The sequence below is a fragment of the Homo sapiens genome, chromosome 7, assembly GCF_000001405.40.
Source record: "Homo sapiens chromosome 7, GRCh38.p14 Primary Assembly".
Taxonomy (NCBI): domain Eukaryota; kingdom Metazoa; phylum Chordata; class Mammalia; order Primates; family Hominidae; genus Homo; species Homo sapiens.
Window position 1 is genome coordinate 18,861,063 of NC_000007.14, and position 15,725 is coordinate 18,876,787.

Here is a 15,725-nt window from a genome sequence, read left to right on the forward strand (position 1 = left end):
TGTTACTGGACTCACATTTGAAATCATAATAAAATATTTCTTGAGAACCACTGTTGCAAACTTAAAGACACATTTTTGGCATATTAAAATTCACGGTATTTCTATGCTTTTATACAATAATGACTGGGAAGGGACATATATAATTACATTCTACATTTCTCAGCAAAAGAGTGTTTACTTCAGTACAATTTTAATATTAACTCTTAATGACTTCTACCAACTCCAAACTAAGCATGTTTCAACATTTTGTTGTTTCTTTCTAGACTAGATTTCAGTACAGAGTTTAACGAAAGCAAAATCTGTTAATTCTGTTGTCATTGTTTTATATATGGTAATTAGATAAGAATCAGTTTATCTGTTTTGATAAACTAGCAATCTTACCATTTTGCCCAGCTCCCTATGCTTGCGTATAGGATTTTGCCTAGGGAGGTGGCATCATTCTCTATTCAGAGGCGTTCCAAATATAATAATATAAATACACTAATACTATTCTCACAGACAATGTCCCAAAGTCAGGAAGAGATACTGTTGAGAAAAATTTCTCTCTCAACTCTTAGCTCAGAGACACATTGGGCAATATCTCAGAATTAGTCAGAAATGTTACTGGCTACGTGACACATCTTAGGCAAGGAAAGTCCCTCATTGCCTTCAAATATCATTATTTTTTAAACACATAGCATTTAAAATTAGCATTGGCTTCTTAAGCACTAAAGCAATATAAACTTACTAAATGTCATATTTGAAACTCTAATTAAAAGAATACACTTTCTGGACCAGGTATATATGTGAGTGTACACACACACGCATATTCCTAATTATGATATATTGCGTTACATTATGATGTATATGTGCTATTTGTTTGTAGCTTCCTTATTCTCATCAATGATTCATTTAAAAGCACAGAGTACTATAATTAGGATTACTATTTTGATGTAGTGAAATGATATGGACTCACAATGTCACATTTAGAGCTCCAATCTCTTTAGAAGTGATAATTTAGCCCCCAAAATATAGCTTATACAAATTTTGTTCTTGCAGTGAAATAGTTTGCTCTCCACTCTAGGGTCTAGCGTCATCAAAGGAAAGACACACTTTAGAATCGTTCTGAAAGGCCAGGGGCAAATCAGTGGATATGTAGGCAAAGATTTTGATCAGCAAGGATGCTGAGCTTCAGGCAACAACTTTTCTTATCAAATGCAAGAGAAAGAGAATGTGAAGGGGGAAAAAAGTGTCCCTTTGGTGTATTAGATCTGGAACATAGAAAAATCATAGAATAATAGAGCCGCATATGACTTTAGAGTTAATCTAAATGAATCCCCCCAGTCTCATATAATAGTTGAAACTAAGACAATTTACTAAGGTTACCCAAGTGGAGGCAGTGCCAAGAACAGAAATTGAATATCTTGAGTTGGAATCAAGTGATTTTTCTAACCCCCTACAATTGTACACTGAAGCCAGATAATTCAATTTTGAGATGGCACACTGTAGAAATCATTGCAGAATTTAACCCCCTTTTTGAAGACTTTTGGAGAAACCTCACCTTTCCCCCTCTCCATCTGGTTCATACAGTGTTCCAATGCTCATCAGAGGAAGATGGTTAGAGAATGTTTTCCTTTATACTGACAGAGTTCCCATTTGGATAATTAATTTGTAAAAATACAGAAAAAAACCTAGCTAGCTTAGAAGCATATCTAAATCAATGAATAAAAATAGGGCAAGATAAGAGGAAATTCATTTTGAGAAGAATTATGAAGACAGAAAGAGAAAAGCTATGTAGATTCAGGAGAATGCAATAAACAAAACATGGAAAAAATAGAAGCCGTATCATATATATGTCACATTTTCTGAAGGTGTGAAAATTTTTGAGCCCAATTTTTTCCTTTTCTCCTCATTACAGTAGTATAATTTCTAGATTAAAAATGAATTAAATGAGCATTTGCATATTCTTGTAATTATCATCCCCATTCTGCTTTTGTGTCTGGAGAGATTTGGAACCAGCTGGACAAGAGAGGAAAGGACGATTTTCTGATGTTTGCATTTAAAGCAAAGGCTCATAAACAGTGAAGCCACAGTAGAAATGGGAATGGCCTTTCACTAAAAGAGGGATTTTACATACATTTGTGAAACGTGCAGAGGCTGAGGAAGAGTGAGGCACCAAGAAAATCTGACCTCCAAACACGAAAAACCAGAGAGGGCATCACTGGGTATAACATTCAACAACTATTTATTGAGTATCCACCATGTGCTAGACTTTAGCTTGTCCAACCCATGGCCCATGGGCCACATGGGGCCCAGGACGGCTTTGAACGTGGCCCAGGATGGCTTTGAACGTGGCCCAACACAAATTCGTAAACTTTCTTAAAACATAATGTTTTTGTTTTTGGATTTTATTTTTTAGTTCATCAGCTATTGTTAGTGTCAGTGTATTTTATGTGTGGCCCAAGGCAATTCTTCGTCTTCTAATGTGGCCCAGGGAAGCCAAAAGATTGGGCACCCCTGTTTGGACACTCTTTTAGGTCCCCAAAATACATCTGTGAACAAAGAGACAAACATTTCTTCCCTAGAGAACTTGAATTTAGTGGGAAGAAGCAATGAAAAAATAAACATTGGACATAATATATAAGTAAATCATGTATGACTTTGGAAGGTAAGTGTTATGGTGAAAAAAAACCAGAAGAGAAGAGTTAGGAATGACAGAGGTGGGGTAGGCGTGGGAAGGGTTGTCAGGAGAAGGTCTTACTGAAAAGATAATAGACGACTAAAGGTTTGAATGAGGCAAGGGAGCTAGGCCTCTGGGGAAAATCATTCAGGCGAAGGGAACAGCCAGTGTGAAATCTCCATGGCCACTGTGAGTACTGCTACAATGAGCATGGGAGTACAAATATCTCTTTGAGATTCTGATTTCGATTCTTTTGGATAAACATCCAGAAGTGGGATTGCTGGATCATATGGCATTTGTATTATATGTTTTTTAAGGAAGCTTGCACTGTTTTACATAGTAACTGCACCATTTTACATTCTCACCAACAGTGTACAAGTGTTCCAATTTCTTCATATTAAACAACTTAAGTGTCCCTGGATGGATGAATGGATAAAGAAAATGTGGTATATAGATACAATAGAATATTATTCGGCCTTGCAAATGAAGGGATCCTGCCATATGTAACAACATGGATGAACCCAGAGACATTATGCTGAGTGAAATAAGGCAGAATCAGGACAAATACTGCATGATTTCACTTACATGAGGTATCTAAAATAGTCAAACTCATAGAAGCAGACAGTGCAATGGTTGCCAGGGACTGGGACCAGGGGAAAATGGGGAGTTGCTCAAAGGATATAAAGTTTCAGTTATGTAGGATGATGAAGTTCTAGAGATCTGACCAGGGGAAAATGGGGAGTTGCTCAAAGGATATAAAGTTTCAGTTATGTAGGATGATGAAGTTCTAGAGATCTGCTGTTTAACATTGTACCTACAGGTAACATTGTATTATACCCTTAACAGTTGTTTAAGGGGGTGGATGTCATGTTGAGGATTCTTACCACAATTAAAAAAAAAAAAGGAAAGAAAAAAAACTAAGAGGATTGGGAGTAAACAAATATTTTATCACCCTTGAACCTCCCAAAATGCTCTACTTACAGAGACAGAAATTGGAATGGTGGTTGCCAGGGGCTTGGAGGAAGGGGAAATGGGAAGTTATTGAGTTACTGTTTCACGGTTACAGAGTTTCCCTGGAAAGATGAAAAAGTTCTGGAGTTGGAACGGTGGTGATGGTTGCACAACAGTGAGAATATATTTAATGCTGCCAAAGTTAAATGGTTAAATACTTAAAATGGTTAAAGTAGTACATTTTATTTAATGTACATTTTACCACAATAAAACTTTTAGTTGTTAAAAAAAATCCCTTTGACCGTAGTGTGTCAGGCATATTTGTGAATAGAGTCCTGGCCAAGCTTCACTGACCAGAGACTCATGGGTCATTAAAACAAACAAAACAACAACAACAACAAAATTTGCTTCCACCAGAAGAGAAATGATGAGGATCTGATTAAACATGTTAAGCTGGCCGGCTGCCATTTTGAGAACAGAGTACAGGGGTAAAGAGGTAGTATGGGCCCCTCTGAGGAGGCCATGGCTGTGATCCAGGTGAGCAGTAAAGTTGGCACAGGCCAGGGTGAGAACAGTGGAGGTGTAGGAACGTGGTACATTTCTGGATATATTTTGAAAGTTTGACAATAGGATTCCTTGGAAGATTGGCTTTGGGTTTGAGAAAGAGACAGGGAGCTGCCAAAGATGAAAAATTGAGGCAATAAAAAAGGGAGTGGTAAAAGAGAGAAGGGGGCAATGTGTGTGTGTTGGTGGTGTGAAGAGTTGGAGGGTGAATGCTAAGGAAGAAGAGCAGGACTTATTCAGGTCTGGGCTGGTGGAGCTAGAGGAGAACACCAATTATACCTGGTGTGCTTAGCGCTCCTAGTGCTGACGCTTTTCCACAAATGCCCATGGTAAACCTTCATTTAGTGCCCCCCACAAGGACCCTACAGGGCCTGTGTTGTGTGAGGCACTGGGGGCTGTTCTGCAGCACTAGCAGCCACAACAGCTGCCTGGAATCTGTATAGACAGTTCTTTGATGTGCTGCCTTCACCACTTTGGGAGCCTCTTTTCCTTGTACTTCATGCACAAACATAGGTGAATGCATGAAAAAATGTGCAGTCTATAATGTGCATTTTTGTTTTTGCCAGAAAAACCTAAAAGAAATAAAAGTTTTTGTACCATTTGAAAAGGTATAATTTTATAATATGATGCTTTCATGCAATGACATACAATTAGACTATAGAGAAAAAAGGTAGGCTTGGATTTTCACCTATAATTTACATTTGCATGATTATAATATGCTATTATAAATTATACAGGGGATCAGAATCTGCTGTCTCAGAGGTGACATATAAGATCATATAACTGCCTACTCAAAACTTTTGAGTTTCCACTCTTGTTCAGAATGAAATCCAGTGTCCTCACAGTGGCCTACGAGATGCTACATGAACTGGCTTTATGCCACCTTTCTCATCCCATTTCCAACCATCTTTCCTTTCATTCACTTTGTGTGAGCCACAGTGACATTCTTTTGATGCCCTGAATATGTGGAAGACCCTTCCACTGCAGGGCTATGTCCACCTCAGAACGGCCTTCTCTAGGTACCCCTGTCTCAACGTGCACCACCCCCGTGACTTTCTGTACAATTTGTTTTTCACCTTAGTCCTTATTACATGCTTACTTGTTTATTTATATAGTGTCTTGCCATGAAGGCAAGAGATCAGGGACTTTGCTGTGAACCCTGGCCTATAACTGATGTCCTAACTCACTTTACACATCCTCTCTGGTGGACTTTCACATTGTTTCTTCCTTGTTGGTTGCCCGCTCTCCTCTGTCCCTCAGTACACTGTGTGTGCCTGGGTTTGTTTTCCACCTGCCTTTCCTTCTAACCTATGACCTTTTTGAAGGCAGAGTTACAACATATTTGCATTTTTGAATCCCAGCACCATCCCAGTGCTTCCCATATGGCAGGGACTCAATAAATTACTTCTAAATGAATATAAAAATATTGTTGAGTAACTTTATAAGTTAAGATGTTGTGAAATTTGCTTTATAATTTTGAGTTGCAGGCTGTGGAACCAAGCCAAAGTTCTGGTCCTATGGGAGTTCCCTTCTTGCAACTGAGCACGTCAAATGAGTGGGTAGCGTCTTATGCCGTTCACTCAGCACATGCTGGGGTGAGTCATGGGAAATTACTAGTGTGGTTCAACTTAAGGACAACACTTGACTCAATGTCAGTGCAACCAATTGTTTGGCCATTGACTAGAGATGAAATAGTTCCAGAAATCTGATTCTGAGGAAGTTCAGAATCAGAATCAATTGTTCCAAATCTCATGGAAAGAAATTTAAAGTGGAATTCTTTTCTGCTTACTGTGTTTAGCATCTAGTCACATGATTTGTATCTCTTTATGTTAGTGGTAGTACTCTTTCTGTCTCCTTTTATTTTTATAAGTTTGGTTTATTCTCACTAGCATGGGTTTCACCAGGGGTGGAGACATGCAGGGAAGAAGGAAGAGGGTTGTTCTTCAAGAAGAGCATGACAGAATAACCATTGGTAGGTGAGGACAAAAAAGCATATATGCCATTGTTATTGCTTCAATCATGTGTTTTCTAGCAAAGCAACGTAGGTGCAAATCACCAGTGAATCCTCCTTATTCTCCTACGATGGCATATCCAGTACTTGGTCCCATGCCTCATTCTTTCTTTGATGCACTTTCTTGCTTTGCAAAAGTACATTGTCAAGTAAGTTATTCGGAAAGGGAGCATTGAACATAAATTTCTGAGCCCTAAAATGTTTTAAAGTATTTAAGTCACATACTTAAATACTAGTATGTGATAGCTGCAAGCAGCATTAAAGTTTAAAAATAATTTTCCCTCAGAATGTAAAAACATTCAGTGTTACTGATTAGGACTTTGCTGTCAATATCATTTTCTGATTCTTTGAGGACACGTTTTTTCTTTTTAAGGCTCTCTTAGGATCTGACAAGTGTGTATTTTTTAAAAAAATACGTAGAGCTTCACACTGGTTGGACTAATCAAATTCATATACTTGAGTATTTTTAGTTCCGAAAAATTATCTTCTGTCGTAAGTTGATCATTTCCTCTCCTCTCTTTTCTTGGGTCTCTCAGGGACTCCTATTATTTAAATATAGGACTTCTGCAATGACCCTCTGTGTCTTATATTTTCCCATCTATTTTATACTTTACCTATTTGCTTCCTCTTCTGGGCGATTTCTTCAATTTTATTTCTTCAGATCGTCTACTAATTTTTTAAGTTATGCAATTTTAGTTTTTATCTTTAAGTACTTCCCTTGTTCTTTGATTGTTCTTTTTCATAACAGCATGTCTTTGTTTCAAGGCTAAAATATTTTCCAGCATTTCTTTGAAATTATTATGTTTGTTGTCTGAACTTTATCTGTTTCGTTAAGAGTCTTCTATGTATATGTTTGTTTTAATCTTTTTTTTTCTTGCATACAACATGGTCTTCTTATATGCCAGGTAATCCCTGATTTTCCACTCATATTTAAGAAAGTAGCTAGTACCAGCTTTCCCTGTGGTTGTATAAATGGGTCAATTGAGTGTGTGTGGACTGTCAAACCCCACTTTAGTGTTAGCATTCTAGAAGATAGCAGCTCTTGGTCTCTGGATCCCCATAAATGACAAAATAAGGAGGACTGTGTGTTAGAGTCCCAGTATCTACATTAGAAGTCTTAGCTTTGTTCACACACATACATACTTTTCTTTAAGAAAGAGGCAATCTGAGTGTGTTGCTTGGTTGCTGGCATCAAGGAAAGGTAATTAAGGCGTTGGGATGTAGTCTGATGTTCTTAACCGACTGACACTTTTTTAATTTCTTGTTTTAAGTCCTGCCTGTTTTCTGTCACCATACCCATTTCCTCAGTGGAGTATATGGTGTTAGGACATACATTAGTTTTTTTCTACAGTTCCTGGCTCATAACTCCCATAGTTCTTGCTACAGTTTTTTTTCTTAGTAGGTTGGTGCAAAAGTAATTGTGTTTTTTGCCATTAAAAGTAATGTCATTAAAAGTAATATAATGTTGGGTGTGCTAGGCTTCAGAGGCGGGCCTCTGATCTTCTGCTTTCCTTTCACCTGTCCCAAGGCAGGACTCTACTCTTCCCACCCTTCTTATTGTAGGTCTTAAGACCCTCTCTGGAATGAAGGAATGCTGAGTGTCCTGAAGCTTTCATAAAAACTCAAGAGGACTGGTTTGGAGAGCTTCCAGATAGTTAGAAATGTAGAGGTTCCTGGAGGGTGGCATTCCCAGGGAGGGCATGGAGACTCCATACGCCTTCCCCCATACCTTGTCTTATGCATCTCTTCATTTGTAGCCTTTGAATGTCCTTTATAATAAAGTTAATGTCAGTAAGTGCTTCTCTGAGTTCTGTGAAGCAGCTCTAGCAAATTAATCCAACCCAAAGAGGGGGGCATGGGAACCCCAAATTGAAGGGAAATTCCTGGACTCACAATTGGGGTGTGTGTGTGTGTGTGTGTGTGTGTGTGTGTGTGTGTGTTGCGGTAGGGGGAAGGGCCTTGGGAGAGTTGTCTTGGTCCGGATCTGTGTCCCACCAAATCTCATGTCAAAATGTAATCCTTAATGCTGGAGGTGGGGCTTGGTGGGAGGTTGATTGGATCATGGGGGTGGTTTCTTATGGTTTAGCACCACTCACCTAGTGCTGTTCTCATGATAGAGTTCTCATGAAATCTGGTTGTTTAAAAGTAGCACCTCCTTCTTCTCTCTCTTCCTCCTACTCTGCCATGTTTGTAAGTTTCCTGAGGCCTCCCCAGAAGCCTAGCAGATGCCAGCATCATGCTTCCTGTACAGCCTGCATAACTGTGAGCCAATTAAAGCTCTTTTCTTTATAAATTACCCAGTCTCAGGTATTTCTTCATAGCAGTGCAAGAACAGACTAATAAAGAGACTGAGTCCTCAACTTGTGGGATCTACACTATCTCCAGGTAGATAGCGCTGAAACTGAATTGGAGGACACCCAGCAGACATCCACTGCTTGGCGTGTGGAGAAAAGCACCCACCTTTGATCACAGACATCTTCTGTATTGAAGATTATTGTGGTGGTGTGAGAGCAGAGAAAAAAACACCGGTTTAGAGAGTTTTCCTGACACAGGCTCAATTGGATGGAGTGTCTCTCATCTCTTCTGTGGTCCCATGAACGCATATGCAAAGCAGTAGCTTTCTTTTTTGGGTTTTTTTTGTTTTTTTTTTTTAGTGTGCTTCCAGTCAATTTCCTTATTCCGGAAATTTGTTAGAAACTTGTTTGATAGCAATGGTCCTTACCCTCTTTAATTGCTATAATTTTATTTATTTTGATATTCTGATACTTGTTAGCATTTTATTTTGAAATAATATTGAAATTACAGAAAAAGCTGTCAAAATAGGACAGAGTTCCTGTACGCCAACACGCAGTGTACCCTAATATTAAAAACTTACCTAATCATAGTATAGTTATCAAAATTAACAAAGTAATATGTGTACAATGCTCTTATCTAAACTACAGATTTTATATGGCACTGCAAATTTTCCACTGATGTCCTGTTTCTGTCCCAGAATCCAATCCAGCATACTGCATTGCACTTAGACATCATGCCTCCTCAATCTCCTCCAATCTGTAGCAAGTCCTTAATCTTCCCTTGTTTTTTATGGCCATTACTTTTGAAGAATACTGGTCACTTATTTTGTCAAATATTCCTCAATTTAAATTTGTTTAATATTTCCTCATTATGAGATTTGAAGTTATATGTTTTTAGTAAAAACGCCATAGGACTGCTTTGCCTTTAATGCATCATATCAGGGAGTATTGATGCTGATATGTCCAATCATAGGAGATGTTAACTTTATTCAGGTAGTGTCTGAAGTTTTCTTCATTTCAAAGTTTCTGTTATTTTCCTTTTTAGTACCTTGGAGAAGATACTTTGGAATTATGCAAATATAATGATTGACAGCAAACTTTTGTCCACTAATCTTATTTATTATCATTATTATTGTTATTACTATTTTTTGAGACAGGGTCTTGCTCCGTCACCTAGGCTGGAGTGCAGTGGCATGATCATAACTCATTGCAGCCTCAAACTCCTAGGCTCAAACAATCCTCCTGTCTCAATCTCCCGAGTCATTGGAACTACAGGCACACACCACCATGTGTGGCTAATCTTTTTTGGAGAGATGGGGTCTCTCTGTGTTACCCAGGGTGGAACCCCTAGGCTCAAGCAATTCTCCTGCCTTGGCTTCTCAAAGTGCTGGGATTGTAGCCATGAGCTGCAATGCCTGGCTCCACTAATTTTGGTATCCATCCTTGAATCTTGCCTGCATCAGTTATTTCTGCCTTGTTCCAATGGTAATTATATATTTTCCTCAATTCTTCTACATTTATTAGATGATATTTTTCTGTAAGAAAGAGCTGTTTTCTCTCCTTTCTATTCAATTATTATGTATTCACTATGGACTTGGTGTTTGATTGTTTGGATTATAATCCAATACTATCATTATTTATTTTGCTCATCAAATTGTTTCAGCTTTGGCCATTGAAAGTGCTTTCATATTGGTTCACATGTCCTGTTGACATGTCCATGTCTCTTTTAAAGCATTTTTTTGACTTCTGTCACCACAAGATATTCCAGAGTCATGTAGTATTTTCCCTGATGCAGTGCTGGAATCAACCACTTCTCCAAGGATCTCTGGGTCCTTTTATTGGAAATTGATATGAGAAAGCAAGATCTGGGTATTAACTCTGCTCCTTGTCACTGGGGTGCCATTGCTTTTAGGAAATATATACTAACCCATGGATACAGTCATCTAAATGATTCATCTATTATATATTAAGAACCATGAGTTCGTATGTATCTTCCTATACTTTCTTTTCAGTGGGATATTGGAAAAGATGAGAGGCAAACATGTATTCTTTGTTTGCTAACTTTAATCAGAAATCCCAATTTTTCAGATAAAATTTTAAATCAGTGCTTTCACAGATTTGTTTTAATAAAAATTACATTGTTTTTCCTACTTCGTACCCTCAAATGCATTATTCAATCTTTCAGACACAATAGATCTTTTTGAATACAAATTAATCTAGACTGGCATAAATAGAACAGTGAACACTTCCATGGACATTCGTAAATTCATTGCCAAAATAAAGAGATCTGTGGAGTCTCAGTTTCATTCATTTATCAGAGAGGAGAACAAGAGTTTAATGCTGACAATAGGAAAATAAATAATATTCAGTTCAAAATTGAGCACATCTTTAGACCAAGACGGTGTTTGCAACATAGTAGACACTGAATATATACTTGTTGAAATGAATGAATGAACCTTACCAATGTCACCCTCCATAACCATCTGTTGCTATGTAGTTCTTCAATGTAATGGAAAACACACAGCATGCATTGCAGCATGATGCCTCTGTTCTCATCATACTTCACTAATTGATTCAGCAAACAGCTTCCACCCAGACATAATTCTAGGCAAGTATATTTTTAACTGAAAGGATTCTATCAGGTGATGTATCCTTTTTCTAAATTTCCCATCTTTTTCTTACTTTTTGGAATGAGTTCAGATATATAGGATTAGGCCTATAAGGTGAAGGAATTTGAAAACCCACAGGAAATTAGAAAAGACATTGTGTTTGTGAATTCAGAAGTGACCTACGTAGCAAATGTGCAATTTGCTTCAGATAGAAACCAGTAGATTCCGTATATTCAGAGATATGTGGCATAGAGAGCTATAGTTCCCCTGTAAGTGGGTAAGATGTCTTTATTAACAAAATATTTGCATTCATCATATTTAAGAAAAGGGCACTATAAAGGTGAATGGGGCTTTTTGACCACTGATTCACGGTAGCAAGATTGGAAAAATAAGCTGACTGTTGGTATTTTCTGCTTTTTCAGTTAGTTTCTCCAAGAAGAGAGAGAAAAATTCACTTGCTTTTTGTGGCTTCTCTGTAGGCACTTATACTCTGTAGATCATCTCTGTGTTTTCAGTGTTCTAAAATTATGTGGGCAATCTTGTCTCCTCTCCTGTCTTCTTGTACTTCAAAAGTATGCACCTATATTTAATATCCATGGGTAGAGAGAAGCCTTTATGGAGAAGATAGTATGTGAATTGTGCCTTGAAGGATGGGGAAATACTGGGGGGAAAATGAGGGAAGGATGACCTTCTGATAGAGGGAAAAGAGATGGAAAATTGATTACTACGATGCTTATGATTGCATAGACAATCTGGTTCAATCATCTACTTACTGAATTTTGTAGAAGCATCCATTCTCTAAAGGAGTACATAGGATTAATAAAATTAAATTGAGTATCTTGATAAAGCACTCCTAATTCTTTGGAAAAACTTGTTTCAATCTCTAATATCCCAACATACACCACAATACTATTTCACTCAGGAAAAATAGTGAATTTATTATGTGTGACACTTAATGACAACCATAATGTAAGGTTTGTAATTACTGGGATGGGGAAGAATCCAGTATATCTCCTGATAATGTAGCTGTATTTGAAATTTTTAATTGTATTGAAGAAAAAACATAATACAATTGTGTATAGTAAATAAAATTAGGTTTTCACTTAGTTTTATGATCAGCCAATTCAGATTTATGTGGTTTACCAGTTGTTGGAAGGACTACTGTGGAAGTCACTTACATGTGTATTTATGAACTTGAAGGATAGAATTTTTATGACAGTGGATTCATTTAGGAAAAATATTTCAATCATTTACATTTCTAGGTAAGTTTCAACTAAATATTTTTATTGCATAACTGCAACAACTTCTTGTTTATGATATGCAATAACATTTTTTAAATATAAAATTCATACGTAATCATTGTAGAAAATCTGGAAAACTTACCAACATAAAAATTAAAGTAATTATGTCATTATTGAAGGATAACTATTTTAATATTTGTTTTAGTTATATCTCACAACCACACAAGAGTGATTGTACTACTTTTTAAATTCATTATAGTGTGCAGTTTCCCCATCTCAGTAAATAGTTTTTGAAATTTGAATTTTTATGATGGCATACTGGTCTTCAAGCCTATGTTAAAAATTTTATAAAGCCCAGTTGCATTCATTAGTCATTCTTTCTCAAAGCTAGCAATGATGAGAAAGGGGTTTCGGAGCCCTGAAGTTGAGAAGGGAAGTGTTGAAGTGTCTGACTGGGGCCAGCAGGGGTTGCTGTCATGGATGAGGCTGCCACATTCCTGGTGTGTCTGACTTTGGACTCACTTAACATTGTAGTCTGGATTCTATTAAGGGAACTTTGTGTTTCTCCTTTGCAAGAGTCACCCCCTACCATGATAAATATTTAAAAATGTTTTTTTTTTTTTTAAGTTGGGAAAGCAAACTTTTCCCAAAAGAAATTTATAGTTCAAATTTACACCAAGTTCTCACTAACTGGAGCAAGCCGGGTTTTCACTAAAGCTTTGACTTTCCTCTGTAAAACATTAGTCACTCCCTTGGAAGAAGCAGTTTTTTATAGGCAGTGGGATAAAACAGCCACAGACGTATGTGTAATATGATGGGCTTTAGAATGTACCTGCAAAGCAGTTTTTTTTTTTTTTCCATTTGGAGGAAAAAAGATGAACCAAAAAAGACTGAATTGGGATGCTAAAATAACAGCGATTTATTATTAAGGAAATGATACGCTTTTGTCCCATTCAAATAATGTTTTTATTCCCCTTTTCTTTATTCTTGGGAGGTTCCTATTGTTGTGCCAGGTCGTTTTCACTGAACGATTTTTAAAGGTATTCACCAGTCCCACGTGTGACCGGTTGCATTTTTACTGTGCAGGACCATCGTGAAGCCTGTGGCCAAAGAGTTTGATCCAGACATGGTCTTAGTATCTGCTGGATTTGATGCATTGGAAGGCCACACCCCTCCTCTAGGAGGGTACAAAGTGACGGCAAAATGTAAGTACCTCTTTCAGGACTTTACGAAAGGCTCTGATATCATACCATCTTTTAGGTCTTTATGATAGACACCACCTTTTACATGTGTCCAGTAAACTTGGGTGAGACATTTGAAAATGATTCAGGTGGTGTTTATTGCTCTGTCGGATTCATGTTTCTGTAGAAATTTGCCTTTAAGAAAAACAAAGTTAAAGTGCTTTGTTTGGTGGACATGACAGCACATTTCAGAAATCGTATGCTTTTCAGGAGACCTGTTTTACATTTAAAGGCAGAAATGATAGGGCTTCTGTTTAAAATATGCTGCATGACTTGAGAGGTCATGAGTCTAGAAAAGCTACTGTGCTTTTCCAGGGAGAATGGAAGTTCCATTGTACATGGGATAAAAATAACTATTTCTTAATAATATTATGCACTTCCAAGTTTGAAAACAAAAGTGTAATTCCCCTTGCTCAGAGCCTCTGTATGTGTCTATGGGCAACCCTCATAATCTCTACTCGTCTTCTGTTGTGTTGCAAAGTTGGACTTTTTGGCTGTGTTCCTTAGCAACTGGACACCACATGAAGAAATAAATTTTATGTTACAGTGCATTTGAATAATACAACCTAATGGAATCTGGCTAGAAAGAGGATTTCTTTAAAAATAATTCCCTTGCTCTCTGAGTGGGAAAAAAGGTATATATATATAGCTCACATATAAATGTACATTGGCACCAGGGGTATCTATTTAAAAATAGAAGAAAAAAGTAAAATTACACAAAGAATAGGGCCCACAGTGGTGTATTTTAGGGAGCATTGCAAAGCAGACAACAACAAAAAACCCAAATACTTTTAAGTGGGAGAGATGAGTTTGGAGCAAATGTGCTGTATTAATTTAAAAAGAATCAAAGAAATAGCGTCATGCCAACCTTTGTTTTTAGCTGGCTTCTCATGTGAAAGAGTTTTCTGCACTCTAATTGTTCTAGTAACATTGTTAGGTAGTAACTATTTTTAACATGTATTATTTACCCAGGATTCTTTGTGCCTTGTTGTCTATTAAAAACATATTAAAACAGGAAACTCTACAAAGACAAACAAAGCAAAATAATTCATGATTTTGGTAAAATTGAATAGAGAGGTGTTTGCTGAGATTAAATGTCTGTATGGCCTTTTTAAAAAATTGTTATTATTATCCATGGAACTCAACTCAATGGAAGTCAGTCTTTCCATCGCAGATAAACCTCACTTGTGGGTCAGAACTGGTAAACAGTTGTCTAAATAAACAAAGACAAAGAGAGTTTGTACATCAAGTTGAGATAAACCCAAAAAAATACAAAATACCTAGCGAAGAAAGAAGGAACTCTGGAAAAGTTGTTCCTTGCCATTAAATCCAAGAATCTCACTCAGAAGAGAGGAGTGTCTATGTTTAGTCTTTCTCCTTGCCACAGGGAAAGGTTGTAACAAGACTCTTCGTCAGAACTAGTTAAAGGGATTGATCATTTTGTTCCCTTGTGTCTTCATTTTTGGCCAAGTCAAGTTCAAATCTCAAATGTTACCTTGAAAATAGTCGCATGGTTTCTTTTGGCCATTAGGTATAGGAGACGTGGGTTCTACCACTTCTAGGTTTAGTAGAGTATAATAGCATCTTCAATATATTCTTTACCCATTTACATATATCTATTCATTGGAGAGGAAGCTCTTCATTGTGTTCCATCTCAGAATCAGTTTGTCTAGAATGCCTCCAACTCCCCTCCCCTCGTTCCCAGTCCCTCCATACCCCTTGTGTATCTTTCCTACTCAAGAACCATATGTTCTCTGCTAGGTGCCTATTTCCTAGGAAAATCAAGCAGACATATTTTAAGTGATATCATACTTTACCTTTTGCGTATTTGCAGTTTAATAAGGAAAAATATATACAATGAGAAGAGAAGTCCTTAGAGTCTAAACAGATTGTAGTTGAAACTCTTCACATATCTTATAGATGAGGAAACTAATTTATTTTAAAATCTGAAATAACTGGGGTTAAAATCAAAGTTCTTATCCTGAATCAGTAGTTAGGTGAAATTGCATGAGGCATTTTCTGTATTTTTTCCATTAAAAAGAAAATGTTTCATAAAATGGATGAGAATAGATTTTTTTTTTTTTTTTAAGACAGAGTTTCACTCTTGTTGTCCAGGCTGGAGCACAGTGGGATGATCTCGGCTCACTACAACCTC

At 37.2% G+C, this 15,725-nt stretch overlaps 1 protein-coding gene across 6 annotated transcripts in view; it reads left to right on the plus strand.

Moving 5' to 3' along the window:
- HDAC9 (histone deacetylase 9) overlaps positions 1-15,725 on the plus strand; it is a 915,592-nt gene that overhangs the window by 774,238 nt on the left and 125,629 nt on the right. For all 6 annotated transcript variants that reach the window (NM_001321868.2, NM_178425.4, NM_001321877.2 and 3 more), the window contains one exon: positions 13,416-13,534. In NM_001321868.2, coding sequence (NP_001308797.1) covers positions 13,416-13,534 — 119 coding nt within the window. The remainder of the gene's footprint in view (positions 1-13,415; positions 13,535-15,725) is intronic.